The following is a 25,298-nucleotide window of genomic DNA, read 5'->3' as shown; positions in this document are numbered from 1 at the left end:
CTTTGATAAATAAATGTTGTGGTTTAAGCCACCTGGTCAATGGCATTTTTGTTATAGAAGCCTGAATTAAGGCATCCTGTAAGATCCAGAAGCTGCATGTTCATGCCCACCACTCCTATTCAATATATATTGAAAGTTCTAGCAAGCGCAGAAAAGAAAAAAAGAGCATACAGAAAGGAAATAAAACTGTTTCCATTTATGATTTAATATGTACAAAATTCCACAGAATGTACAAATAAGCTCCTAGAAATTAAAAGTGAATTAGCACAGTCACACACAGAATATAAAGTTAATACACAAATATCAATCATATTTCTGTATACTAACATTGAACAATTGGAAATCAGTAGTTTAAAAAAAATAAAATTACTATTAACAATAGCATTTGTTATTAGAGCAATGCTTAGAAATCAAACTCAGAAATACTCAGAAATAAATCTAACAAAACGTGTGCAGAACCTGTATGCTGAAAATTTTACAACAGTCATGGAAAAAAATCAAAGAAGACAAATAAACAGAGAGATATACCATGTTCACGGATCAGAAAACATAATATTGTGAAGCTATCAATTGCCACCAAACTGATATATAGATTAAATGCAATTCAAATCAAGATCCCAGCAAGATATTTTTAAAATATAAATAAGCTGATTTTTAAAGTTATATGCAAAGCCAAAGAAACCAGAATAGTTAAAATAATTTTGAAAAATAATGATAAAGTTGGAAGATTCACATTACTCAAATTCAAGACTTACTATAAAGCTACAGTATTGTATTGGCAAAAGGATAGACACATAGATAAATGGAACAGAATAGAAATCTAGGAATCCACAAATATGGCCAACTGATTTTTTACAAAGATGCAAAGATAATTTAATGGAGAAAAAAGAGTCTTTTGAGAAATGATATTAAAACAATTGGATGGGATGACAATATGCAGAGAGAGAGGAAGAAAGGAATGAAGACAAAAGGAAGAAGGGGAGAGAAGGTGAAAGGGAAAAGAGAAGAAAAAAGAAATAAACCTCACAAAAGAAAAATAATGAAAGTAATTATATACTTTTGAGATGCAATAATGAATGAAGAATTAAAAAGTGAGCTAAAATAATTGTGGAATGCAATAATAATATGAATTATAATACAATCCCATAAAATGTACAAGTTGGAAGGGGATAAGTGGAGTTTAAAAGTGTTTTTAAGGTCTATATATATAGGTATTAATTATAGACATCGATATATTAATGCATATGTTGTCTTTGAGTAACTGCTAAAAACATAAGAAAATAATTTATAGTTTCCAAAATGACAGAGAAAAACAACAGAATGATTAAAAAATTGATCTATTCAAAAGAAAGTCTAGTCGCAGTGGCTCACGCCTGTAATCCCAGCACACTGGAAAGCCGAGATGGGCAGATTGCTTGAGCCCAGGAGTTTCAGACCAGTCTGGGTCTCAAACCACATGTCTACAAAAAGTAAAAAAATTAGCCAGGCATTTTGGCACATCCCTGTAGTCCTAGCTACTTGGGAGGCTGAGGTGGGAAGATGGCTTGAACACAGGAGGTTGAGGCTACAGTGTGCTGCGATCATGCCAGTGCACTTCAGCCTGGGTGAAGGAGCGACACCTTGTCTCAAAGAGAAAAAAAAAAACAACTCCAAACCAAAACCAAAAACAACACAAAAGAAAGCCACAAAGAAAAGGAGAAAAATAGGTGAGACAAATAGAAAATGTAACTGATCACATATTGCTACATAACAAATTATCCCCAATTCAGCAGCTGAAAAGTACAGATTGGATTTTTAGAAAGCAGAATATATCTATAATTTGTTTACAAGATAGATATGTGAATGATCATGAATAAGTATTTACCTATACATTATTATTTTCAAAGTTAAAATTGAAAGGTGTGTACATGTGTATTCTTGTATTTTGTTGATTTTCCTAATTAACCTATGTCATGAGCATTTCTCATGCCAAGGATATTTTACATCCTTGAAATAGACAGGCATGGTGCCTCATGCCTATAATCCCTCGTGAGGCAGGAGGATCTCTTGAGGCCAGTAGTTCAAGACCAGCCTGGGCAACAAAGCAAGACTCCCATCTCTACAAAAAATTTAAAGATGAGTCAGGCACAGTGGGAAGTGCCTGTCGTCTCCATTACTTCGGAGGCGGAGGCAGGAGAATTGTTTGAGCCAGGAGTTAGAAGGCTGCAGTGAGCTATGATGGTGCCACTGCACTCCAGACTGAGCAACAGAGTGAGACCTTGAGACCTTGTCTCTAAAAATTAAAAAAGAAATATCCTTAAAACAAAACAAAAACAAGAAAGAAACCTTGATTCATACCTTACATCATATACAAAAATTAACTCCAAATGGATCATAGATCTAAACGTAAAATGTAAAACTTTAAAACTCCTAGAAAAAACATGGGAGAAAATCCCTGCTACCTTGGGTTATGCAAAATGTTCTTAAATATAACACCAAAAGAAAATTGAGAATAAATTGGACTTCATAAAAATTTAATACATTTTTGCTATATAAAAGATAGTTAAATGAATGAAAAGACAGGCCACCAATTGAGAGAAAATATTTGCAAATCATATATTTGATAATGGACATGTATCCAGAAAATATGGAGAATTCTTAAAACTCAACATTGAGAAAACAAACAACCCAGTAAAAAGATGAGCAAAAGATCTTAATCAAAGATATATACATGGCAAATAATCACTTGAAAAGATGCTCAACATCATTAGTCACTTGAGAAATGTAAATTAAAACCACAATGAGTGGGGGAAGGGAAGGAGAGGGAGAGATTTGTTAAAGGATACAAAATTACAACTAGATAAGAGGAATAAGTTCTAGTGTTCAATACCACTGTAGGATGACTATAGTTAACAATAATATATAGTTTCAAATAGCTAGAAGGAGAATATTGTACGTTCCCAATACAAAGAAATGATGTTCGAGATGATGATATGCTAATTACCCTGATCTGATCACTACACATTATACATATCAAAGCATTACTATGTACTCCATGAAAACGTATAATTATTATTTGTCAATTCAAAAATAAAATTTTAATTTAGTTTGTTGAGGCAGGGTCTTGCTCTTTCACCCAGGCTGGAGTGTACTAGCACCATCACAGCACACTGCAGCCTCAACCTCCCAGGCTCAAACAATCCTCCCATCTCAGCCTTCTGAGTAGCTGGGACCACAGACACACACCACCACATCCAGCTAGTTTTTTTAATTTTGGAGAGACAGAGTTTTGCCATGTTGCCCAGGGTGGTCTCAAATTTCCTGAGTGCAATTGATCCACCTGCCTCAGACTTCTAAAGTGCTGGGATTACAGATGTGAGCCATTGCATCCAGCCAATTTAAATTTTTTTAATTAAAAAATGTGGTATTTAAAAAGCCCACAATTAGATACCACCACATCCTGTTCAAATAGCTAAAATTTTTAAAAAAGAAACTGACAATGGCAAGTGTTGACGAGAATGAGGAGTAACTGAGAGTCCCATACATTGCTGGTGGAAATGCAAAATGGTGTGGCTATTCTAGAAAATAGTTTGGCAGTTTCTTATAAAGTTAAACATATGCTTACCATAAGATCCAGCAATCCCACTCCTAGTTATTTATCCAAGTGAAATAAAAACCTACAAAAATCTGTATGTAAATGTTTATAGCAGCTTTATTCATAATTGCCAAAATGGAAACCCAAATGTCCTTTAATTGAGGAACAAATATACTTTAGTATATCCATACAATTGAATACTACTCAGCAATTTTAAAAAGGAACTATGATACACAGAAAAACAACATGGATGAATCTCAAAATAATTATGCTGAGTGAAAAAAAAACCAAAGCCCCAAAGAATTACCTACTGTACAATTTCATTTCTATAGGAATCTGGAAAAGTGGACATGGTGGCAGGGATGGAAGGTATTCAGGTGCTCAGCAACATGGACTTCCACTCACTAAGGCCAGTCTGAGTACAGCCACTGCTGAGTGCCCAATCTGCCAATCTGCCAGCAGCAGACACCAATACTGAGCTGCAGCAACATTCCCTGGGGTGATCAGCCAGCCACCTTGTGGCAGGTTGATTGGACTCCTTCCATCATGAAAGGGCAACACTTTGTTCTTACTGGAACAGACAGTCTAGATTTGGATTTACTTTCCCTGCATTTAATGCTCTGCCAAAACTATCATCTATGGACTTCCAGAATGCCTTATCCACCACCACTTTTTCCACACAGCAGTGCTTTTGATGAATAAACTCATTTCACAGCAAGTGAAGTACAGCAATGGGCCCGTGCTCATGGCTTACCATGTTCTCCATCATACCGAAGCAGCTGGCTTGATAGAAAGGCGGAATGGCCTTTTGAAGATCTAGTTACAGTGCCAGCTCGGTCGCAACACCTTGCAGGGTTGAGACAATGTCCTTCAGGAGACCATATATACTCCAACTCAGCATCCCACATATGGTACTATTTGTCGCATAGCTAGGATTCATGGTTCCAGGGATCAGTAGCAGAAATGAAACGGCACCCACAACTCACTATTACCCCTAGTGGTCCACTGGTAAATCTTTGCTTCCCATCCCTGTGGCTTTATGCTTTGCTGATCTGGAGGTCTTCATTCCAAAGGGAGGAATGCTTTCACCAGGAGTCACAATTATTTCACTGAACTGGAAGTTAAGACTGCCATGGGTCATTTTGCAATGAAGAATTACTCCACTGGCTAGGGTGATTCCTCCTGACTACCAAAGGGAAATTAGGCTGCTACTAAACAATGAAAGGAAGAAAAGTTATGTCTGGAATACGAGAGATCCCTTAGGTCATCTCGTAGTACTACCATGCCCTATGGTGATTAAAACCAGTGGAAAACTATAATAAACCAATGCAGGTAAGACTTCTAATTTCCCAGACCCTTCAGGAATGAAAGTTTGGGGCCCTCCCACCAGGCAAAGAACCACAACCAGCTCTGAGTTTCATGAGGAAGGCAAAGAAAATATGGAATAAGTCGTGAAGGAAAGTAGTTACACATACCAGCTATAACCAGTAATTTTGTAACACCGGTAGTTATAAAACACATCATGTGAACAGTTGCAGAAGTTAGTACTATAATTATTATGAGTATTCATTGTTTTGTTATGAATGTTTGTGTTTATGTATTTTTTCTTCCCTCTCTTATCCCCTTGTCATCTAACATAAAATTTATTAAAATAGCTACATTTACATAATATTATTAAAGTTACTGGATTATCAAGGATAAAAGTGAACACCAGTCAAGGACTGTGAATTCTCTCCCAGGAAAAGAGCATATTTTCAGTTGTACACAGATTAGCTGTGTCATGATAGGCAGAAGTTTTACTTTGTTATTGTCTTTATTGGGAGATTAAATGGTTTAAGGAAATGTGTACAGGTGCCAAGTTAACAAGACATGGACTGTGGTGATCAATTTTACGTGTTGACCTGGCTATGCTATAATACCCAGTTATTCAAAAACTGACCTAGGTGTTGCTATGAAGGTATCTTGTAAATGTAATTTACATCTACAATCAGTTAACTTTATGTAAAGGAGATTATCCTGGATAATATGGTTGGGTCTGATCCACTCCGTTGAAAGCTGAGGTTTCCCTGAAGAAGGAGAAATTCCACCAGTGGACTGCAATGTCAGGTCTTGTCTGAGAGTTTCCAGACCTCCCTTCCACACGGCCTGCCCTGTGGATTTTGGATTTGCCTAGCCAGCCCCTACAACTGCATAAACCAATTCCTTGCATTAAATCTAGGTAGATGACAGATACATGGATATGAAGACAGACAAGATAGAATATATCCTACTGGTTGTGTTTCTCTGGCGGAACTCTGACTGACACACAAATCATCTGAGAAAATCTTGCATCTCTTCAGTCAGAGCTTGTTTTTGACCCAAAAGGGATCACCAAGCTTTCATCAGACATGGCCCCAAAATGACTGGGCAAATCTCAGGAGTTCAAAAGATTATTCTGATGGAGGAGTCAGATTAGGCAGGTGTTCTCTCTTTTAGGGTTCTGTTCCTCAAGGACTTTTAGGGTGTACCCTCAGATATGTCCGTTCTTTTGTGTTGACTAAACTATCTGCAACACATTGGAATAGTATATAGCCACTTTAATGCTCATTATTAACTGTGTCTAAAAGGAGACACAAAATCTCATAACATTAACTGCTTCAAGGAAGGTAACCCCGTAGCTGGAAGACAGAGGTGGGAGGGAGAATTTTTGCTTTTTGTGCCTTTAGAATAATGTATCATGTGAATGTGTCATTTAGATTAAGGGTTGGTATACTATGGTCCACAGGCCCAATCTGTCCCCTGCTTTTTAAAAGTTTTATTGGAACATAGCCATGCTCATTTGTTTACATATTATCTATGGCTGCTCTCACACTGGAATGGCAGAGTTCAGAAATTGTAATCTGTATACCTAATGTCATGGACCACAAAGGCTAAAATATTTACTGACTCTTTACAGAAATGATTTGCCAACCTGTCTAGATTTTTTAAAAATAGAAAACTGACATTAAAAATAAAAGATGCCCCAAGATAATTGAAAACATATCTACACAAAAATCTGTACATCAATGTTCATAGCAGCACTAATCACAATAGTCAAAAAGTAGAAACAACCCAAACATCCCTCAACAGATGAATAAACAAAATGTGATATACCCACACGTTACTCAGCTAGAAAAAGGAACAAAGTACTGATAAATGCTACAGCACAAATGAACCTTGAAAACATGCTAAGTGAAAGAAGCCAGAAACAAAAGGCCACATGTACAATTGCATTTATATGAAATGTCCAGATTAGGCAAATTCATAGAGATATAAGGTAGGTCAGTGGTTTCCCAGGGCTGGGGAGAAGAGGGAATGGCAAGTGACTGCAAATGGGTACATGATTTCTTTTGGGGGTGATAAAAATGTTCTAGAATTAGATAGTGGTTATGGCTGCACAAATTCGTGTATATGCTAAAAACTGCTGAACTGTATACCACCACCAAGTACAGGGCAATCCAGAGTTCAGTACAGGGCTCAGAACCTAGTAAAAAATTAGTCCTCTCTGCCACTGCAAATCAAAATCAAACCTGGCCTGGGAGTCAGATCAAGTTCTGCATCCCAATTGTTGCGAACATCCATGTGACCTTAGACAAGTTTCTTCCCTATTTCCTTCCCTATAACATGGGTATAATTGAGCAGGGAGGGAGAAGGCTGGTGGTGCAATAGGGTGTGAGGGGGGGATTTTGTTCTTTCCCCAACTTTATTAGATACCCTAATAATCAGTATCATCATCATCATCATCACCCATTTCTAAGCATTTTCACATACATGATGTCATTTGATCTTTCCCCTTAGAAAAGACACATATTGTTTCCATCTTACAGATGAAGAAATCGAGGATCTGAGAGATCAAGCAGCTTGTCCACGTTCATCCAGTGGGTGTTGGAGCTGAGATTCGACTCCAGGTCTTCTGATTCTAGATCTTGTTCTGCCTACACTACCACACTGTTTTTGCATGTTTGCATTCTCTCTAGAAAGCCCAAAACAGCAGTGTCCAGCAGCCTCACCACAAACACTGTACACCTTTATCTGGGCAAAGGGAGGAAGGAGAGGCAGAACCTGGGGTTCTGCTGGTTCTCTTTTATCTTTCTTATGAACCTCTATATTGGCACAGTAGCAGTCTGTGGGTAGGAGTATTCACGCACATTGATGTGGACACCAAGCCCACATACATCACAGAGAGAGACACACAGGTACACCTGACCTCAACAGGCAACAGGTCATACTTGTTACTAGGGTAGTGAAGGGGCTATGCTTTTTGTTTAGGGGAGGCCCAAGAGGTCAGAACTCTAGGCGTCTGCTCTCCTTTCTAATACCAGGAGACCCATCTCTCCCAAAGGCCTTAAGGAGGAAGAGGTGGCTCCTTAATCCTTAGTAGAGAGGAGTAAGGAGGAGGGAGAGAGGAAAGTATCCTCGCTGTCCTTGCTAAACCAGAGCCCCAAGAGAGGGAACATCAGGGATTCACTACTAAGAGATCTGGGCCTACATCTTAAAGAGTATCCATGAGACCCTTGCTGCCAAACCCAGTTAAGCCTTTGTGCATCACAGTGCTAAGTTCTAGTAATGCCACCAGCTACATGGGCTTTGCCACTCACCTTCTCTGATTCAGTTTGCTTATCCAAAAATGTGTCTAATGATTACTGAGTCTAGCTCAGGGGGGCGCTCTCAGGTTTCAGCAACATAAACTGAAATGCTTTAAAAATAAAATGCACTTTATGAACACACTATTTCATCCTCCCATACTGCCAAGCAAGAGTGGCTCAGGCACTCTTGCTTGAATACACCTGGGAGTGACCCTCTCACGCCTTTCAAGGTGGCAAGGCTTGGGCAGCAAGGAGAGCCGTGCCTAAGGCAGCCATTCTCTTCAGAAAAGGCAAGGCTGCCCTGGGGCACCAGGCCTGTCCAGGCTTGCTCGCACCCTTCTTTTTTCATTTGAGCAATCTGTATGTATCAAACACTTCCTACAGGACAGGCACTGTTCTGTTTACTTGAAGATAAGCAGTTAAGAGAAAAATGCTCTCACAGAGCTTATATTCTAGTTGTCACAGGCCAGAAAGTAAACAAAAAACAAATATGTCAAGCGTTGGCAGATGCTACGTGGAATTAAACTGGGTAAGGATAACAGCGATGGGGGAGAGGTGCTATCTTGCACAGGATGTCAGAAAGCCTCTCTGATAAAAGGATGTTTGAGCAAAGACTGAAAGGAGGTGAGAGAATAATTTAGCGGGGAACCACACCTTAAATCTAGTCTGGAGGACACTAGAGTTCAGGGAACAGAGATCGACAGTGCCACAGCAACAAAGAAGATTCCCTACCATGCTGGTTATTATCCATTTGCCTCCCTTAGATTGTCACCACCTTGCCCTTTCCTGCTGTTCCCAGTGGGGAGGGGGACTGAACCCTACAGACTGCATCCTGGGTCTGCCTTGTCATCTGCCATTTGGTTGGGTTCAGTCAAAGGGGGTCCCCAGAAGACTGGAGAACAGGATACAAGGAGCAGGGATATTGATGCTCCTATGGGCACAGTTCTAATAATGGCTGCATTGTTCCGAGAGAATTCCACAATTTCCATCTGCTTTCCACAGTCCCTTCAGTGACACATGCTCACATACTTTCCCATCCTGGGCCCCGAAAAGTGGAGGCTCATCTCCTCCAGGAAGCCCTGCAGGATTAGTCTTCCAGATGAGCACTGTGCACCTACCTGTGCAGGAATGTGTTGTTCACAGATGCCACCTGGACTGCCTCTTTCATCAGGGAAGAAAGTAGATGAGCTTTGGCCCTGGAGACACTCATCCCTGATGAAATGTGAACTGTGGCCTCACTCTCCCTCCCAAAGCTCCAGCTCTGTCAAATTACTCACGACAGCTAAAGCAGTAACAGAAGTTGGGGCTCTAGAGTCTCTCAACTTAATCCCTTAGGACCTCACTGCCCCAGAGGTAGAACTTCTCCCCAAGATCAGCCAACCACCTTCCTAACTGGAGGAACCCTATCTACCTACCTCCAACACTCAATAGCTCATTGCCCAGTTCATTTCCTTGATAACACATTTATCACTATTGGAAAAAGTTGATCAGTGTGTGTATGTCTGCTCTACACATAAGAATGTGTATGTCATAGAAGCCTAGAACTTACTTGTCTCATTCTCCTCTGTGAACAGCATCCTAGGCCCAAGCATACAAGAACTCTTAAATATTTTTGAGTAAAGAAATAGTAACACAAAGAGGGCAAAGCACCTCTGGCTCCCTAACACCTCCAAGAGAATTGCAGTCACACGATGGTGGAGTCAGGGGTGGGCAGACACTCTCAGAAGTCTTGGCACTGCTGATTTCTCGAGTTGTGTGTCTGGGCAACAGAGGATTCAGAGAATCACTTAGGTTCCACCAAAAGAGGTGCCATCTTTCTAAATATCCCCAGCTTTCCATTTCTGAGTGGCCAGACCCTTTGCTAAATAGTCTCCAGGTTCAGGAAAGCCGAGAAGGGAGGAGTATGAAAGATAAGAGCTTTGGGCAAAAGTTGAAGCAGCAAAGCTCAGGCAGGTCCATGACGGCAGCTGGGAAGGTAGCAGTTACTATCCCAAAGACACAAAATATGATTCACCTGGCCATCACCACCAAGGAAGGCAGAACCCAGGAGCCCTTAAGGGTGAGTGCTGCTGGTTAGTTTTCCTCTACTTAAGGGGCATAAGCCTAGGCACAAATAAGTGCTGCTACAGGCCAATCAGTATCTAGTGGCTGGTCTTCCCTTCAGTCCCCATTCTATTCCACCCTGGAGACTCTCCACCCTCACCCACTGTGTGGCACCACTGCCACCATGCCAACCCCTCATCCCCAAAGAGACCCAAACAGTGCAGAGGTGCATCAATCAACCTTTAATGTCCAAAAGAGGCGTGGATGCAGAGCATAGGAGATGTGGCAGGGTCTCAGGCCCTGCTCCAGAAATGAGGGAGAGATGAACACAAACCAGACACTTTCAACTGGCCACACAGTCTGGGAGGGCAGGGGGAAACACAGATTTGGACATTCATAAAAAAATAAAACCTAAAATCAAGCACTCAATTTTGTGCCCACTGAAGGGTTTGATAAAGGGAACTCAGTCACCACCCAGGTCTCCCCTCCCCTGCCAACATCACAAAGCAAGCTCGGCACACACTAAGGGCTTAGGGAGGGGTATTCTCCTGCCTCCCCACCAGCCCCAAGAATGGACTTGAAAATAAAAGAATAAGCTGGATCCCCCACCCCCCCACATTGTCAACCCTACACGAGAGTTTTGAAGGCGACTCATGAAAATCAGCAGCTCAAACGGCAATGACCACCCCACCCCAAACCCCACCCCACTCCTATTTCATTAACAGACAAGATTTCCCCTGCATCCTCCTCAGAATCTCCTCCTCTCACAGCCCTGCTCCATCTCCTATGTCCTGGCTTCACCACTGCAAGACTGACCTCCTCCAAGGCTCCCAGAAGCTCCTCTTAGCTCTTTATCACTTCTATCCTCACCTCCCACCAGAGACTGCAACCATCCACAGTCACTGTCCCTCTGCACTGAGACCCAGCTCCAGAGCAGATGGCAGCATGGTCATCCTGTCCTGGGTGGTCCTCCTAAAGCCTTCCCAGGGAGCAGACAGCCAGAGAGCAAGCAGAGTGTCTGGGCTAGATGACAGCAAGGAGGGGACACCTATCTTTATTTTCAAAACAGATATCCCCAGAGGCTTTTAGCATAAAAGCCCACTTAGAACTAACTGTGCCCCCTACCTACCCATACACCCTAGAGATTCCACACTGTCCTGCCCCCTCCCTCCCTTCTACCCCAAACCCCACACACACATACACACACATATACACACATATTCACACATATACACAGAAGAGTCAAGGGAGACATCAATTTGGTTTGATTGCTAAGACCTAACTAAGGAACTACAGTCACCAGAAATTCCCTTGCCAGCCAACTAACAACAGGGGCTGCTCTAAGAGAACTCCAGAGGAATGAGGAAACTGAGGGCTAAGCAGGGAGCAGACAGGAGAAAAATGTAAAGAAAAAAAAGATTCAAGCTAATCCTACCCCAGCATCCTCCTGTCATGATCTCTGGCAGGAAGAACAAAAGAAGGTAATCCACAAAGACACAGCCCTTACTTAGAAATTCTGACAAAGACAGCAAGACAAATCTGCTCCCCACTCCCACACACCACAGACAAACACATCTCAGGGCCCCTAAAGAAGGCATCCCCACCCCACCCTCCGCCCCAAGCCATAGAATCACAGTTCAGTGGAATATTCTCCCTGGTACTAGATCAATCCCTCCACCTTCCTTCCTACCCCTTTTTCCTTGACAATCCCAACACTGTCCCCCTGCAGCCTCCCTGGCCCTCCCAAAGCAGCATCCACCGCCAGGAAGAGGCAGCTGCACAGTTTTAGTTCCACCTCCAGAGACCTATTTCTTTTCCTCAGCCCTCCTAGTCTTTCGGCCGCCTAGTCTCTATGGTGGGCCTTTTATTTTGTATAGGGAAAGAAAGAGAAAAGGGAGAGGTGGGAGAGATTTCCTAGTGCAATACAACCAAAAAATATTTTTAAAGTCTTGAAAAATAAACATAAAGCAGCCTTCTTCCCCCAGGCAACTAAACAGAAAGAGGTTTGGTTTTGTTTACTGCGACATACACATGAAATCGAGTATACAGTCCATGCAGTAGCACAGCCATTGGAGAGGACATCCTGATGCTGGCTCCAGTGCAAAACAGTCCCAGCAACGCCGCCTGCTTGCCATCGCTGCCGCCGCCACTGACACCTTCACCATGGCCACCTAGCCTGACTTGAAGAGGAGGATTGCAACTTGACCCAAGTAAAAATAGATGAAGTGCTTTGTCTCGTGTGTGACGTAGCTGCCAAAATTTCGGCCCACGATACAATGCCAGGTAGGGTTATATTTCTTGTCAAATTCCTAAAAAAGAACAAAGGTAGAGAAGAAAGGTAATTAGGGTAGCTGGAGAAGGAGAAATCAGAATGGGAGTCTCTCCCTGCAACTCCAGCACCGACACGTTTGGTTGTTATCACCCCCACCCCATCCCTCAGCCTCAGCTCCCCGAACCTCAAAAGCTCAGGTTTTAAAGCTGGCCAGGACACTCTTCCCCTCATTAATAATGGAACACCACAAAGCCTCCATTATTCGTCTCCCCTGAGCCTCCAGCACTCTACACCCTGATCATCTCTCCTCCCTCTAGCTACCCCACCCCCTCACGCCACCCCTAGCCCACCCTGGGATTCTTCAGCAAGGGAATCAAGAGGCCAGTGGAATAAAGGACCATTTGTCAAACACATGACACAAATGGGGAGCCACCACCCGCTGCCTCACACATAATTAACCAGCATTTCCAAATGCTAAACACCAAGGCATTAGAGCAAAACAAGACCAAACATCGGGAGTACCAGGAGGCACTACTATATAAGACAACATTAAAGGCATTCCCGTGTGCCATGCACTGTGTGGGCTGTATGTACCAGAACAAGGACCTCCACCATGAGATCAAGGCAATTCCCTAAGGGGCACAAGTTCAGCATCAAAACCACAGGAAATCTTTAGAGCTAATCAGCTCCCTACTACCTTGTGGCTCAGCCTGCAGACTCAGTTCTAGAAGCATCCTGCCATGGCCATGAAAGGGCAGCAGCCCTCCACCATGGGCCCACCAACGCTGCCAACTCTGGGGTTCTATCCCTCAATATGCTCAACATACAACTTCTCTGGCCTCTTCACAGCCCCGATACCACACAACTCTCCAAGTACTAGGAGTAAATACTAAACCCAGCTTCAATCTCGGCTCAAGACTATGTGTAATACAGGAGAGCCAGTCACTTCCCTGGTTCTCATTTCTCCATCAGCAAAAAAAGAGCGCAGACCAGAAAATCTGGGGATTCTTCTGGCTCTCAGAGTACAGGACAGCGAGAAGGTGGGCTCCCAAATAGCTCTGCCACCCTTGGCTCACACCCAAAAAAGTCCCTCAGGACTCCAGGAGTTCTTCTTTTCATTCCACCCATTTGGGTAGGAAAACACAGTTCTGTAAAACTCAGAGACCCTACCACTTCCACTTCAATGGACCAGACTGCCACCATTCTTACACATGTTCTTGGGATGCCAGAGCTGAGAATATCAAATGCTGGGACTATGCCTCCAATGGATATGGATCCTGACTGGGAATCAGGGGGTCCCAGTACCCCTTTTCTTACTTTTGGCACAGCTGCTTCCTCACCATGTTAACCATATCCAGTGACAAATTCACTCAGGAATTTTTCAGGGACCAAACCTATGGCCCCATTATTGCTCATCCATTTCTTAAAAATTATATATTTGAGCCCACCCTTTTCTTAAGAATGTAGACAGAAAGGGGTGATGTAGTACCTGAGTCCTTTTTAAGGAAAAGAAAAGGAAACCTCCTACATGATGAGGATTATTACAGGCATATCCACTTTAAATGATGTAGTTCCCTGAAAATTTGTACATCTTATTCTTTCAAATATCCTAGATTTTAATTTTGAATAGTTCTGAACTGGGCCAGAAATATTTAATTCTGAAGTTTCTCTGCATAATCTTATCCTTCCCCAATGCCTTGCAGTAGCATAATTACCTGTAAAAGTAAACATACACACACACACACACACACACCTGGCAGAGCTATTAACAACTCCTAAGGTGAATGCTTGGGCAATTCGGAATCACTCGCTAGTTTGTCTGCTTTGCAAGTTCCTAGGGTTTTGCTTGCACAGGATATACGGGCTTTCTTATGTCCCCAGCTCCAGATCTCCCTGGAGGTTAGCTCAGCTGTCGATCCCCACCCCTGGCCATCAGTCCCAGCTCTCCCAGCACACCTTCTTGATATAGGCAGCAATGTCCTTCTCTATATTGTACTTCTCCATGGCCTGCGTGGCGCAGTCAACGGCATCCTGTTGCATGTCCTCAGACATGTCTGCGTTCTTGATCACTGCCTTCCGGTCAGACATGGTGTGACACTACAGAAGGAGCAGAGAGGTAAGGCTGACAACTCCTTGCTCTGGGCAGTGAACATTAGCTGCTGGGTGTGGGGTCTCAGTGCAAGAGGGGAGTATAGAAGGTGAGGGCAACAGAAAACACGGATGTGAAGCATTAGGAGAGGGAGCCCCTAAGCTTTGGCAGAGACATTGTTCCCACCCTGGGAAATACAGGGCCAATAGGACATAATAACTCATCAGTTTTTATCATAAGTAAAATGAGATTTTCCAACTCTAAAATTTACTTCCGATATTCTGAAGAGCACCAATAGTCAAGATTATATTACAGTGTACATCTACTAGCTGTGTCGTTGGGCAAGTTACTTAATCCTTGTGTTTTTATGTCATTATCTGTAAAATGGGGACTAAGGGTTGTCCTGAGAATAAACCAGGTGTCCTAACATTTGAACAGAATTAAGTCCCTGATTTAATGACCATTCATTACATCATTGGCATCATAGCAGAAAGAAGCTGGACTAGGACTCAGTAGGCCTGACTCCTGGTCCTGAGTTTATCTCTCGTGGTCTTAGACAAGTCACTTGGCCTTCCTACATTTGATTATTTTCATTTTAGCAGGTGAGGATAGCTCTCTATCGCGAGTTGTTGTAAAGATTAACTGAAGTTATATGAGAGCATCTGCACACAAGGACAGTCTACAAGGGACTGTCCATCAGCCAGATCCAGCCTACCACCTGTTTTTGTAAAATAAAGTGTTGCAGGAACATGCTACGATAGCAGAGTTGAGTACTTCCAAGAAACTATTTGGCCTGCAAAGCCAAAAATATTTCCTATCTGGCCCTTCACAGAAAAATGCTGCCAACCCCTGCCCTATACAGGCCCTATTCCAGGCCACCAATGTCCAGTGGGGCAGAGATAATGATAATTATGCCTTCTCTCAAGTACTCCAGGCTGAGATGCCCGTAAGAGGTAGAGAGGGTGGGAAGGCAACCTCAGACTTGGCTGGTCGGTCACACAGGACATGTCTCTCTCTGTCCCATCCTCCCCTCTGCTTCCCCACTCTCCTCAGTACAATGTTCATTCTTTAAAGCCCAATATAATTTTTGAAAGCCCTAGATTTTGGACCCAGCTTCAACACTGATTTCTCATCTCTTTGGTGCGTTGCTTCCTCATGTCAAACTTATTCATTCATTCAAAAAGTACTGACCTATTAGGTGATGTGAAAGGTATTATGTTAGGAGACAATATCTTATTTTCCTCAAAGGAATGCTGAAGCCTTCCTTCCCCTAAAAAAACAGAGGCTTGGGAAAAACCTGGAGATAAAGCATTTTAAAAAGGTGCCTAAGAAAGGTAAAGATTTTAATAGCCTTGTTTCATATCCCTGCTATCAAGGCCATGCCATTCATGCCATAGCAACCACAGGTTCCAGGCAGACCCTGCATGGACCCTTCTTGGGACGAGCGGAATCTCAGGACGTGCCTGACAGGTGGCAACATGTGAGGTACTATGCAGGAACAGAGGGGATGAGCCCTTTGTCCTTGACCACAGTCCCAACACATGGAGCAGTAACTATCTCCCCCATCATCCCACCCCTAAAAGCACCCCTCTGTGGCCCAGCCCAATGGACAAGAGATGCTGTCATTCCAGCTCTATCTGATGGAAGGCTACACAGGAGGCTGCCTGCTCAAGGACATATCCTTGGTATCATTCCAGGCCACCTTGATCTCGGAGTTCACAATAGCCTGTGGGCTAGATGGCTGAAAGGGAAAACAGAACTCACCACCACCATTTCAGCCTGCACCACATGCAGAGAATGCACACATGCCAGCTGCCAGCCAGGCAGCCCTTGACCGCATCCAAGGCCCCTTCATCTAGATAGCACTGCCAAACTAAGCAGGGCTGGTTCCACTTCGGCAGAAACTGGCAGAGCAAAGAGGTAGTAGACCAGCACCCTCTGCCCCCACATTCTGGAGAGGAAAAGTCAGAGCCTCAACTGGAGTCTGTGAGCACCATGTGGTGCTGAGGAAAGATTCGGAGAACCCTGTTCAAGGAATGACTAGTTACGTGACCTTGGGCAAATCAACATCTTCATTTTAAATACTAATGGTTGAAATGAGATAAATGGGGTAAACTCAAATGGGTCTGAGCAAAGGTACAACAGCAGCACAGGGAGAAAGGTTCTTACATTATAAGGCTCTGTATAAGTGAAGAAAAACTAGTGTCACCTGGTGGCCTATTCCAGGTTACCACTCAGAAGGGGGCACTGTTTACAAACCCAGGGGTGGGGGTGGGGCCTGGTTAGACAGCAAAGTGAAAGTATGAAATTGGCACCATTTTGCCTGCAAGCTCACCTGCTCCACTGCCTCATTCCCAAAGTCCAAAGGAGCAACTTTGTTACAGTAATTAAAAGCCACCTTACTCTCCAGGAAAGAGCCTGCGGTTACATAATATTGGTCTTACGACTACAATGGCCCCCCAGGCATCTGAGAGAGGTGAAGCCCAACCCCTACCACCCCTGTCCAAGGTGCCGGTAAGCAAAGCACAGGAAGGTGTCCAGCCTAGCCCCTCCCTCCTTGGGAAAAAGCAAGGGACCTGGGCCTCCAGATAGGAGGAAGATGGCCAGAGGGCCCCAGGCCAGCAGCCTCAGTCACGAGCCAAGGCTCCTGTGAAAAGCACAAAGGGCACCCCAGGACAGCTCCCATCCTCTATTCCTGGTTTTGCAACCAAAAAAAAAGGCTAAATCTCCGAATGACACGGACCACCATCCCCACCCGCCAATACACACACACTTCTACTTCCCTCTTCGGGCTCTCCAAGTGGGCCGTATCCCTCCACTATCCCATCCTCCAGAGCGCTGCGGTCCCGAAGGGCAGCACCTGGGGAACGAGGAAGCATCCTCCTTCCCCCCGACCTCCCGCCCGCGCCGCCGGCCAGGTCCGCAGGCCCCGGCCGGTCGGCCGCCCTCCCCCACCCGGCCTGGAACAGCGCCGGAGTGACTGGGCGTCCTCGCTGCAGGAAGGACGCCCCAGAGGGTGGCGGTGGCGGCAGGAGGAGCCGCGTCACGCCCGAGCCCTCTCCACCCCCTCTTCCCCGGCCCCTGACATCAGGGGCCTCCACGCAGCGCAGAGAGACTCCCGGGGGCGGGGGCAGCGGCAGCTCCGCAGCCCGGGCCTCCAGCAGCGCCACGAGGGTGGCCGGGGCAAAGGGTGGCGCAGCCCGGGCTGCGCCGAGAGGGAGGGGCGGCGGGGGCGCGCTGCGCTGCCCGGACCGTCAACGCCAAGGGCTGCGGGGCCAGCCCTGTTCCAGGCCTTGGGGCCGGCTAAGGAGGCCGCAGGGCCACCGCGGCGAGGGCCGGGTCGTGTAGAGTCGCACGCGACGGACACAGGCCCGCCACCCGGGGGACGCCCCCACCCACCGCTCACCTTCACGGAGGCGAGTCCGCACTGGGCCCTGGGGAGGAGCGATGGCCCGAGGCAGAGCACAGGCAGGGGCGGTGTTCCCTGGGCTCCTCCTGCAGCTGCAGCAGCCGCCGCCGCCGCGGTCTCCGGCTCCCGCAGCCCGAGGCCGATCGCTCCCTGCCGCGGTCCGCCCTTGGAGTTTCGCCGGCCGCCCGCGCTCCGCCTCACGCCGCCCGCCCGCCCGCCCGCTCCGCACTGGCGCCTCACAGCTCCGCTCCGCTCTGCCGCTGAGCGCGGCCGACGCGCGGCCCCCGCTGAAATAGTGCCCCGCCCCCGCCCCCCCGCCGCGCGCGCCGCCGTCCGCGCTCCCCATTGGCTGAGCCCGCCCGGCCCCGCACTGCGGGCTTCTCCCCGCGCCGCTCTCGCCCCACATCTTGTTTCCTCCCACAATGCCTCGGGGCGGAGGGAGGGGGTGGGGAGGAGGAGCTGGAGCGGGTGGGGGAGGGAGCCGTGGCCTTAAGAAAGGAGAGGAATGCGGACCCCTCCCCCCGGGGCTGGAGAGGCCAGGCCTGAAAAGGAATAAAGAGACATGGTCCTGAGAGAGGAGGAGAGGGAAGGGTGTGGAGACCCCCAGTCCCAAGGAGAAAAAAGGGAGAGGGGGATGGAGATTTCAGACCCAGGGAACAGATGGGGCTGAGGTAGAGACCCCAACCTTAGAGAGGGGAGGAGATGAAGTCACCAGCCTCAGAGGAAAAGACAGGACACTCCCTCCTCCCGTATCTGTGAGAAAGAGAGGGACAGCCAGCCCTATGGAGAGGGAGAGGCATAGGAGCCCCAGGACTCCCTCCCCTCACCTTCCGGGAAGGTCCCTTCTTCCTCCTTTGTTCTTTGAGGCTGAAGGACCTAAACTCCCAGCTGGGCCCCCAGCCGGTATTTGTCTACAGGAGCAATGGAGACAGAGCCGAAGCAAAATTGATGGGGATGTGTCTTTGGTACGCAGGCCTCTGCTGTCCTTGCACATTTATGGCCTTGGGGTCCTGGGATGGGGGTGAGAGTGAGCGATTTCTTGTCGTCTGTCCCTGCCTGTCCAGGTAGACAAGGTTGGAGGAGAGTGAATAGAAGCCCCCAGAGGTGGTGCCTGTCAGAGCTGTGAGGAGCCTTCAAAAACCACCCATCCACACCCCTCACTTTATAAAGGAGAGAATCCAAGTACAGAGAGCCCTGCCAGATCCCGCAGGTCAGGCTTGACTTGCTTCTAGCTGAAAAGAGGTGCACCCAGGAAGCAGCCCCTCTGGAGGCTCAAGAGACTACTTCTGGGAGAGTGGGTGTGAACGTGCGCGTTGGGAGCCTGCCTGCCCTCACTCCATCCCACTCCCAGGAAAGATCCTCAGGCCTGCGGTTTTCTTTCTGGTCTGTTTTATACAGAAGTGTCTACCTCAAGGGCTGACGAGCCTTTATTGGGAACCAAGCATTTTGGCCATACAGTAGGGATTAAGAAGCTGCCGGGGATAGCTCCCACTCCCATCTTTTCCCCTTCGCCTCTCCAAACCATGGTCAGGAAGTCAGACTTGCCCTGGCCCTGGCCTGCTCTGGTTTGAAGCATCAAAAGTTAGTGTTCGTTATGTGTCAGGGGAAACCTGGAAAAATCATTCCCTCTGGTTACTGCTTTCCACAGTTCTGTCCTCTAACAACCTCAGTTGGGGGATTTCAGAGACCAGTTAAGGCCTGGGGTATCCCCTCACACTAAGGGTTTTCTGATGTCAGTCTTTGTGTTCATGAATGGGAGGCGTGGCCTCTATGGGAGGAAGGGAGGGAGACGAGGAAGGATGATTTATACACTTAGGGCTTGTGCGGGGCTAATCGCCTGGACTGCCTGGAGAAAGCGAAGCTAGTACCCCCTTTCTCCAACAGTCCTTAGTTTCCAGGCCCTTCCAGGGCCTGAAGGTCAGATCTGCCACGTATGGTTGCACAGGTCATTCACTGCGCAAGAGTATCCAACCGATGGAGCAAGCGGGTGCTAAAATACAGCCGGCACACTGCTTGCTAGCCTGTGTGTCACGGTACAAGCCAGTGTCCAACCAGAAGATGACTTCTTTCAAGTGTTCCCAAGGGTTACTATGAGCTAGCAGTGGCCCTTCAAAGGCCATGCTGCCAGGGCATAAATCCTCCCTCTCCCTGCTCCCCTTCCCTGAAGTATAATAGGGATAAGAGCTTGCTCATTTCCAGGCTGTGGTGTGGTGGACAGAAGGGCACGAAGAACTTCAACTAACAGAAGTCAGAGCCACGGGTTTTCACTTTTAGGAAATGTGAATATCAGTGCTCTTGTGTGTGTGTGTGTGTGTGTCAAGGACTAAACTGTAGAATAACAGGGAGATGTGTTAATAGTATGGTTTATAAATAATAATAAGTAATCCTCATGAATCCCTTGCTCTATGTCAGGCTCTATTCTAAGTGTTTTAAATGCAATGCGTTCCATTTAATCCCAGAAGCTGCCTTTTGAAGTGCATATATGACTATCACCCTGTACAGATGAGCAAACTACAGTTTAGAGAAGTTCAGTAACTGACCCAAGATTATCCAGTTTGTCAGCGGCAGGATTCAACTCCAGATTGTTTCCACTGCCTACAATCTTAGCCATTATACTATACTGCATCCTAACAGAGAAAAGAGGAGAGAAAGTGTAAAACAGAGTTTGGCCCTCTATCTAAATTATACCAGTATTCCTTAAACTTATCTGACTCCAAAGCCCTTTTTTTAATCCAAACATTTATTAACATCTCCAGGAACTACTATTCCACAGGACACAGTTTGGGAAACTTGTGATATACTAATTACTGCTATTTGTGTAAAATGCTTACTGTTCAGGATAATTACTATGCAACATAGTCACTGTTATAATTAATATGTTAGCTTAACTTGGTGAATGTTTTTATTTGATACAGCTACACTGTTTGTGATTGCCCAGTTTCCTGTTGCCCAGATAACATGGTCATGTCTTCTGACTTAAAAATCAAAATCAGACTATTGTTTTTGGCTCTTTGGTGGACCCCTTTCCATCTGGCTACTTCTTTAACTTCGGGGTTCCCCAGGGCTCTTTGCTTCCTTCACTGCTCAACTTAGAAATTTCACCCACATTCATGGTTTTTACCATGATCTGGGCCCCGATGACCCCCTAATGCCTGGACCTCTCCACTGTGGATGCCCCACAGGCTCTTCAGACTCTTCGCATACACACATATAAAGCAGTGGGCCAGAATGCATGGATTCTGACCTTTTTCCACCACTCTACCAGCTGTGCAGATTTGGCTAAGCTATTCAACATTTCCAAATTTCATTTTCCTCATCTATAAATTGAGAATCATATCCACTTCATGGAGTTAAGAGAAAATGCATGAAGAAGTCCTGGCACAGTGCCTGGTTCATATATGTGATTAATAAATGTTAGCCATCGCCAACATCTCTGTCCCAGACTTGTTCCCCTTCCCTGTATTTCCTATCTCAGTTTATGGCCCCATTATCCACCCAGGCACAAGCCAGAAACCCTAGATTTGTGTCTCTCCCTCACCCACCATGTCTCCATCACTGCTCATCTCTTGGATATTTTTCCAATCCATGCCTTCCTTCTCATTATGAATCCCCTGCGTCAGACACTCATCATCTCTTCCAGTTGGTTCTCTGTCTCCATTCTTGGCTCCTCTGCCTTAGATCTACACTGCTGTGATCTATCTAAAATGCAGATCTCCTCAGGCACGCCCCTCTTTCCTGCTCAGAATAAACACTAACTCCTTTCCCATAACTTAACCTCCACACGTGCACACCTGCTTCTCTGCCTTATGTCCCCACACTTTCCATCTCGTTCTTCCTGCTCTAGTAACACCATCCACCGCCTGTCGTTTCCCTACATGCAGATTCCACACCTGAGCTCATGTGGCTCTCTTGCCTGTGAGGCTTGGAGCTTTTTTCCTGGCTGACTCCTTTGGATGTCATCTACCAAGCCCCTGAACCCCAGAGGGAATGCATACCCCTCTTCTGTGCTCTGTAACATCCAGGAGTTTTCACTGACCACTTACCATTAAATATGTCAGTCTTATGTTTGTCTGTAGTTCCTTTCAGGTGAGAATCACGTCTTACTTATGTGTGGCTGCAGGACCTAGCATAGTTCCTGAAACATGGGAAGTTCTCTGTAAACATTCTATAAACTAATTGTGCCCATTAATGACTGAAAAGTACAGCTTGGAAGGACACTGTTTCTCCACCCCAAAGAACAGTGTCCAGGCTCTCTTTGTCAAGAACCAGCAATGTATACTATTAACACTGGGCCCTTCCTGCCCTAAACAAGTTGCCAGGTAAAATAATTCATTGTTAGTCCTAGTGAAACTCCAACCCTGGTTTGTCAATTGATTTCCTCCTCACACTGTCTGCTGGGTATTTGACTAATGTCCTTACAGGTAAAGACAATCCAACTCCAGCTGACTGGATCATCTAGAGGAAAGAGACCGTGGAGGTGACAGAAGTTGTTTTGCCTAGCCCTTTAGCATTGACCTGCTTCAAGATCTCCAGGAAATTGTAGAAGGTTGGGAAAGACACACCTTGACACTCCCATTGCAATGCAGACCCTGGTGCCAGTCTCCCCTCTCAAGTCCCATGTGACTAGAACTGCTGAAATCCACCTCAATTCTTTGCTGATTTCTTGGGTGACCTTGTAAGACATATTTCCCTGGGCAACTATTTACCAAGCCCTAAATATTGTCCCTCCTTGGCTGGGAGCGGTGGTTCACTCTTGTAATCCCAGCACTTTGGGAGGCTGAGGCAGGCGGATCACAAGGTCAAGAGATCGAGATCAACCTGGTCAACATGGTGAAACCCTGTCTCTACTAAAAATACAAAAATTAGCTGGGCATGGTGGTGGGCACCTGTAATGCCAGCTACTCGGGAGCCTAAGGCAGGAGAATCACTTGAACCCAGGAGGCAGAGGTTGCAGTGAGCCAAGATTGCACCACTGCACTCCAGCCTGGGCGACGGAGTGAGACTCCGTCTCAAAAAAAACAAAAAATTTGTCCCTCCTGTCTCCAGACTCCCTGAGGAACCAGCCAAGTTCAACCACTTGAACCGGTGAGATAAGCTCTGGACTAAGAGTCAAGGAGGAAGTCCCAAGCCATATTCAGCTGCTAGTCAAGTCATTTCACCTCTCAGACTCTGGATTTCTTCATCTGAAAGATGTAGGACTGGCTGATCTGTAAGGTCCCCAGAAGCCCCAAAGTCTATGATTCTCTATTTCAATAACCCCATTACAAAGGATACCTTCTCTGATCCACTCAGTCAGAATTCACACCAAATGAGTTCCTGGAGAGTTGGGATATCATTTTGCTCATCTTTTTATTGCCCTAAGAAACAACATGACTTGATCTAGTTTAGATTCAATGAATTGTTTAGAGTTTCAATTAAAATATTAAAGCAAATGATCACCAAATAGAAACTACAGAGAAGATGCCCAGTGGAAGTCATGGTGTTCAGGTCATGACTCCTCATAATTTAAAAGTTTTCCTCCTTCATTTTCTGGACAACCCTGAGAAACCCTGTCTTTGCCATCAAGAGAAAATCAAGACAATGATATGGAAATGACTAGCCTTGAATACCTGAAAAGACCAAGTTAGTGTTCTTAGGTGCAAGAAATACCTGAAGGAAAACAAACAGGCCTGGAGTAGCCACCCTGACTCCAGGGAGCAGCAGCCAGGGAACAGTTGCCTCAGAGCATCCCAGTAAGGCAAATCCACTGTTCTCCTGGAGTCTCCCCACTCTCCACTCAAATTCCCGGTGAAGTCATATGTCCACCTTTTGGTCACAAAAGAGGAGGGCAGAAAGCCTGATTGACAGACCTTCTGAGATCGAGGAAGGAAGAGCTGACAGGGGAAAGTCCAGCAGTGGTTATAAGAAGTAAGAAGCCGCCGATGTCCACTCTCTTGAGAGCCTCAAGAGAGGGAGGCAGAGTTACATATGAGGGAAATCCTTGTCCCCACTGTCATAAAAATGTACACTATGGTCTTTCACCGTTGGTCCCTGACAGTGAGGTGGGGAATGGGGGTGGGGAGCCCTACCAAATGAGACTAGTGCAATTTTGCCTGCCTTTTTGAGGATAATTTTGAAGAAAAACTTTGCCTTGTCAGGCATGTTGTAGTTTATTCAAGGTGACAAAAAAAAATTATTGGGAAGACAGAAGTGGTCAGATCACTTGAGGGCAGAAGTTTGAGACCAGCCTGGACAACATGGCAAAACCCCGTCTCTACTAAAAATACAAAAATTAGCCAGGTGTGATGGCACATGCCTGCAATGCCAGCTACTCTGGAGGCTGAGGTATGAGAATTGCTTGAACACAGGAGGCAGAGGTTGCAGTGAGCAGAGACTGTCACTGCATTCTAGCCTGGGTGACAAAGCAAGACTCTTTCTAAAACTAAAACAAAAACAAAAACTTTTTTGGGATCTTCTCACCAGGAAAATGGAGGGCCCCCCCTTACATTTCAACTTAATATTACACACACACACACACACACACATACACACACCCCTCAGCTTAATTGAGATATAATTCACATATCATAAAATTTATCTTTATAATGTGCACAATTCAGTGGTTTTCAGTATATTTACAGAGCTGTGCAACCATCACTCGTTATCTAATTTTAGAACACTTCATCACCCCCAAAGAAACCCCAAATCCTTGGCAGTCTCTCCCCTATTTCCTCCAATTCCCGCTAGTCTACTTTCTGTCTCCGTGGATTTGACTATTCCGGACATTTCATATAAATGGAATCATACAATATATGGTCTTTTGTGATTGTGGCTGACTCATTTTACCTTAGTATATTTTCAAGGTTCATCCATGCTATAATATGAATCAGTACTTTATTCTTTTTATGGCCAAGTAATATTCCATCATATAGGTATACCACATTTTGCTTACCCACCAGTTGATGGACATTTGGGTTGTTTCCACTTTTTAGCTATTATGCATAATATTGCTAGGAACATTCATGGGCAAGATTTTGTGTGAATATACTCTTTCATTTTGCCGGGGGGTAGGGTGGGAATATACCAAGGTGTGGAATTTCTGGGTTTTATGTTAACTCTATGCTATCCTTTTGAGGAATGGCCAGACTGTTTTCAAAAGTGCCTGCATTTTATATTCCTACAAGCAGTGTTGGAGGGTTTCAATGTCTCCTCATCCTCACCAACACATTATTATTTGCCTTTTTTATTATACCCATCCTAGGGACTGTGAAGCGGTGTCTCATTGTGGTTTTTATTTGCATTTCCTTAATAGCTAATGATGTTGGCCA

General features: G+C 45.4%; 1 protein-coding gene and 1 long non-coding RNA gene across 2 annotated transcripts, besides 6 other annotated features; one reads left to right on the top strand and one right to left on the bottom strand.

Moving 5' to 3' along the window:
- Positions 1 to 6,129: 6,129 nt before the first annotated feature.
- On the bottom strand, positions 6,130 to 18,253 carry DYNLL2 (dynein light chain LC8-type 2). Its single transcript, NM_080677.3, has 3 exons — positions 17,989 to 18,253; positions 14,450 to 14,590; positions 6,130 to 12,530 (listed from the first exon to the last, which is right to left on the bottom strand). Exons 2-3 carry the CDS (start codon positions 14,579 to 14,581, stop codon positions 12,393 to 12,395), a joined length of 270 nt encoding a protein of 89 aa, NP_542408.1. The 5' UTR covers positions 14,582 to 14,590; positions 17,989 to 18,253; the 3' UTR covers positions 6,130 to 12,392.
- Positions 17,464 to 17,593: a silencer, noted in NCBI's record as "silent region_8760". NCBI's record gives its function as "represses an Ori minimal core promoter by ATAC-STARR-seq in GM12878 lymphoblastoid cells {active_cell/tissue: GM12878}" and the evidence as "EXISTENCE:reporter gene assay evidence [ECO:0000049][PMID:35858748]".
- Positions 17,634 to 18,053: a silencer, noted in NCBI's record as "silent region_8759". NCBI's record gives its function as "represses an Ori minimal core promoter by ATAC-STARR-seq in GM12878 lymphoblastoid cells {active_cell/tissue: GM12878}" and the evidence as "EXISTENCE:reporter gene assay evidence [ECO:0000049][PMID:35858748]".
- Positions 18,094 to 18,153: a silencer, noted in NCBI's record as "silent region_8758". NCBI's record gives its function as "represses an Ori minimal core promoter by ATAC-STARR-seq in GM12878 lymphoblastoid cells {active_cell/tissue: GM12878}" and the evidence as "EXISTENCE:reporter gene assay evidence [ECO:0000049][PMID:35858748]".
- Positions 18,164 to 18,513: a silencer, noted in NCBI's record as "silent region_8757". NCBI's record gives its function as "represses an Ori minimal core promoter by ATAC-STARR-seq in GM12878 lymphoblastoid cells {active_cell/tissue: GM12878}" and the evidence as "EXISTENCE:reporter gene assay evidence [ECO:0000049][PMID:35858748]".
- Positions 18,164 to 18,524: a biological region, named in NCBI's record as "Sharpr-MPRA regulatory region 5901".
- Positions 18,230 to 18,524: an enhancer, noted in NCBI's record as "tiled region #5901; HepG2 Activating DNase unmatched - State 1:Tss, and K562 Activating non-DNase unmatched - State 1:Tss". NCBI's record gives its function as "activates a minimal TATA promoter and a strong SV40 promoter by Sharpr-MPRA in HepG2 and K562 cells {active_cell/tissue: HepG2 | K562}" and the evidence as "EXISTENCE:reporter gene assay evidence [ECO:0000049][PMID:27701403]".
- Positions 18,468 to 24,781, top strand: DYNLL2-DT (DYNLL2 divergent transcript). Its single transcript, NR_110809.1, has 3 exons — positions 18,468 to 18,956; positions 19,056 to 22,310; positions 22,413 to 24,781. It is a non-coding gene; the product is annotated as a DYNLL2 divergent transcript (long non-coding RNA).
- Positions 24,782 to 25,298: the final 517 nt, after the last annotated feature.

This window comes from Homo sapiens, chromosome 17 (genome assembly GCF_000001405.40).
Source record: "Homo sapiens chromosome 17, GRCh38.p14 Primary Assembly".
Lineage (NCBI taxonomy): Eukaryota > Metazoa > Chordata > Mammalia > Primates > Hominidae > Homo > Homo sapiens.
The sequence above is the reverse complement of the archived record's forward strand: the minus strand, read 5'-3'. Positions and strand labels throughout refer to the sequence as shown.

Coding starts and splice junctions, on each gene's coding strand:
- DYNLL2 (NM_080677.3), bottom strand. CDS start 14,581: ATGTCTGACCGGAAGGCAGTGATCAAGAACGCAGACATGTCTGAGGAC. Junction 12,531..14,449: donor TTGCTGCCTATATCAAGAAG/GTGTGCTGGGAG, acceptor GTTCTTTTTTAG/GAATTTGACAAGAAATATAA.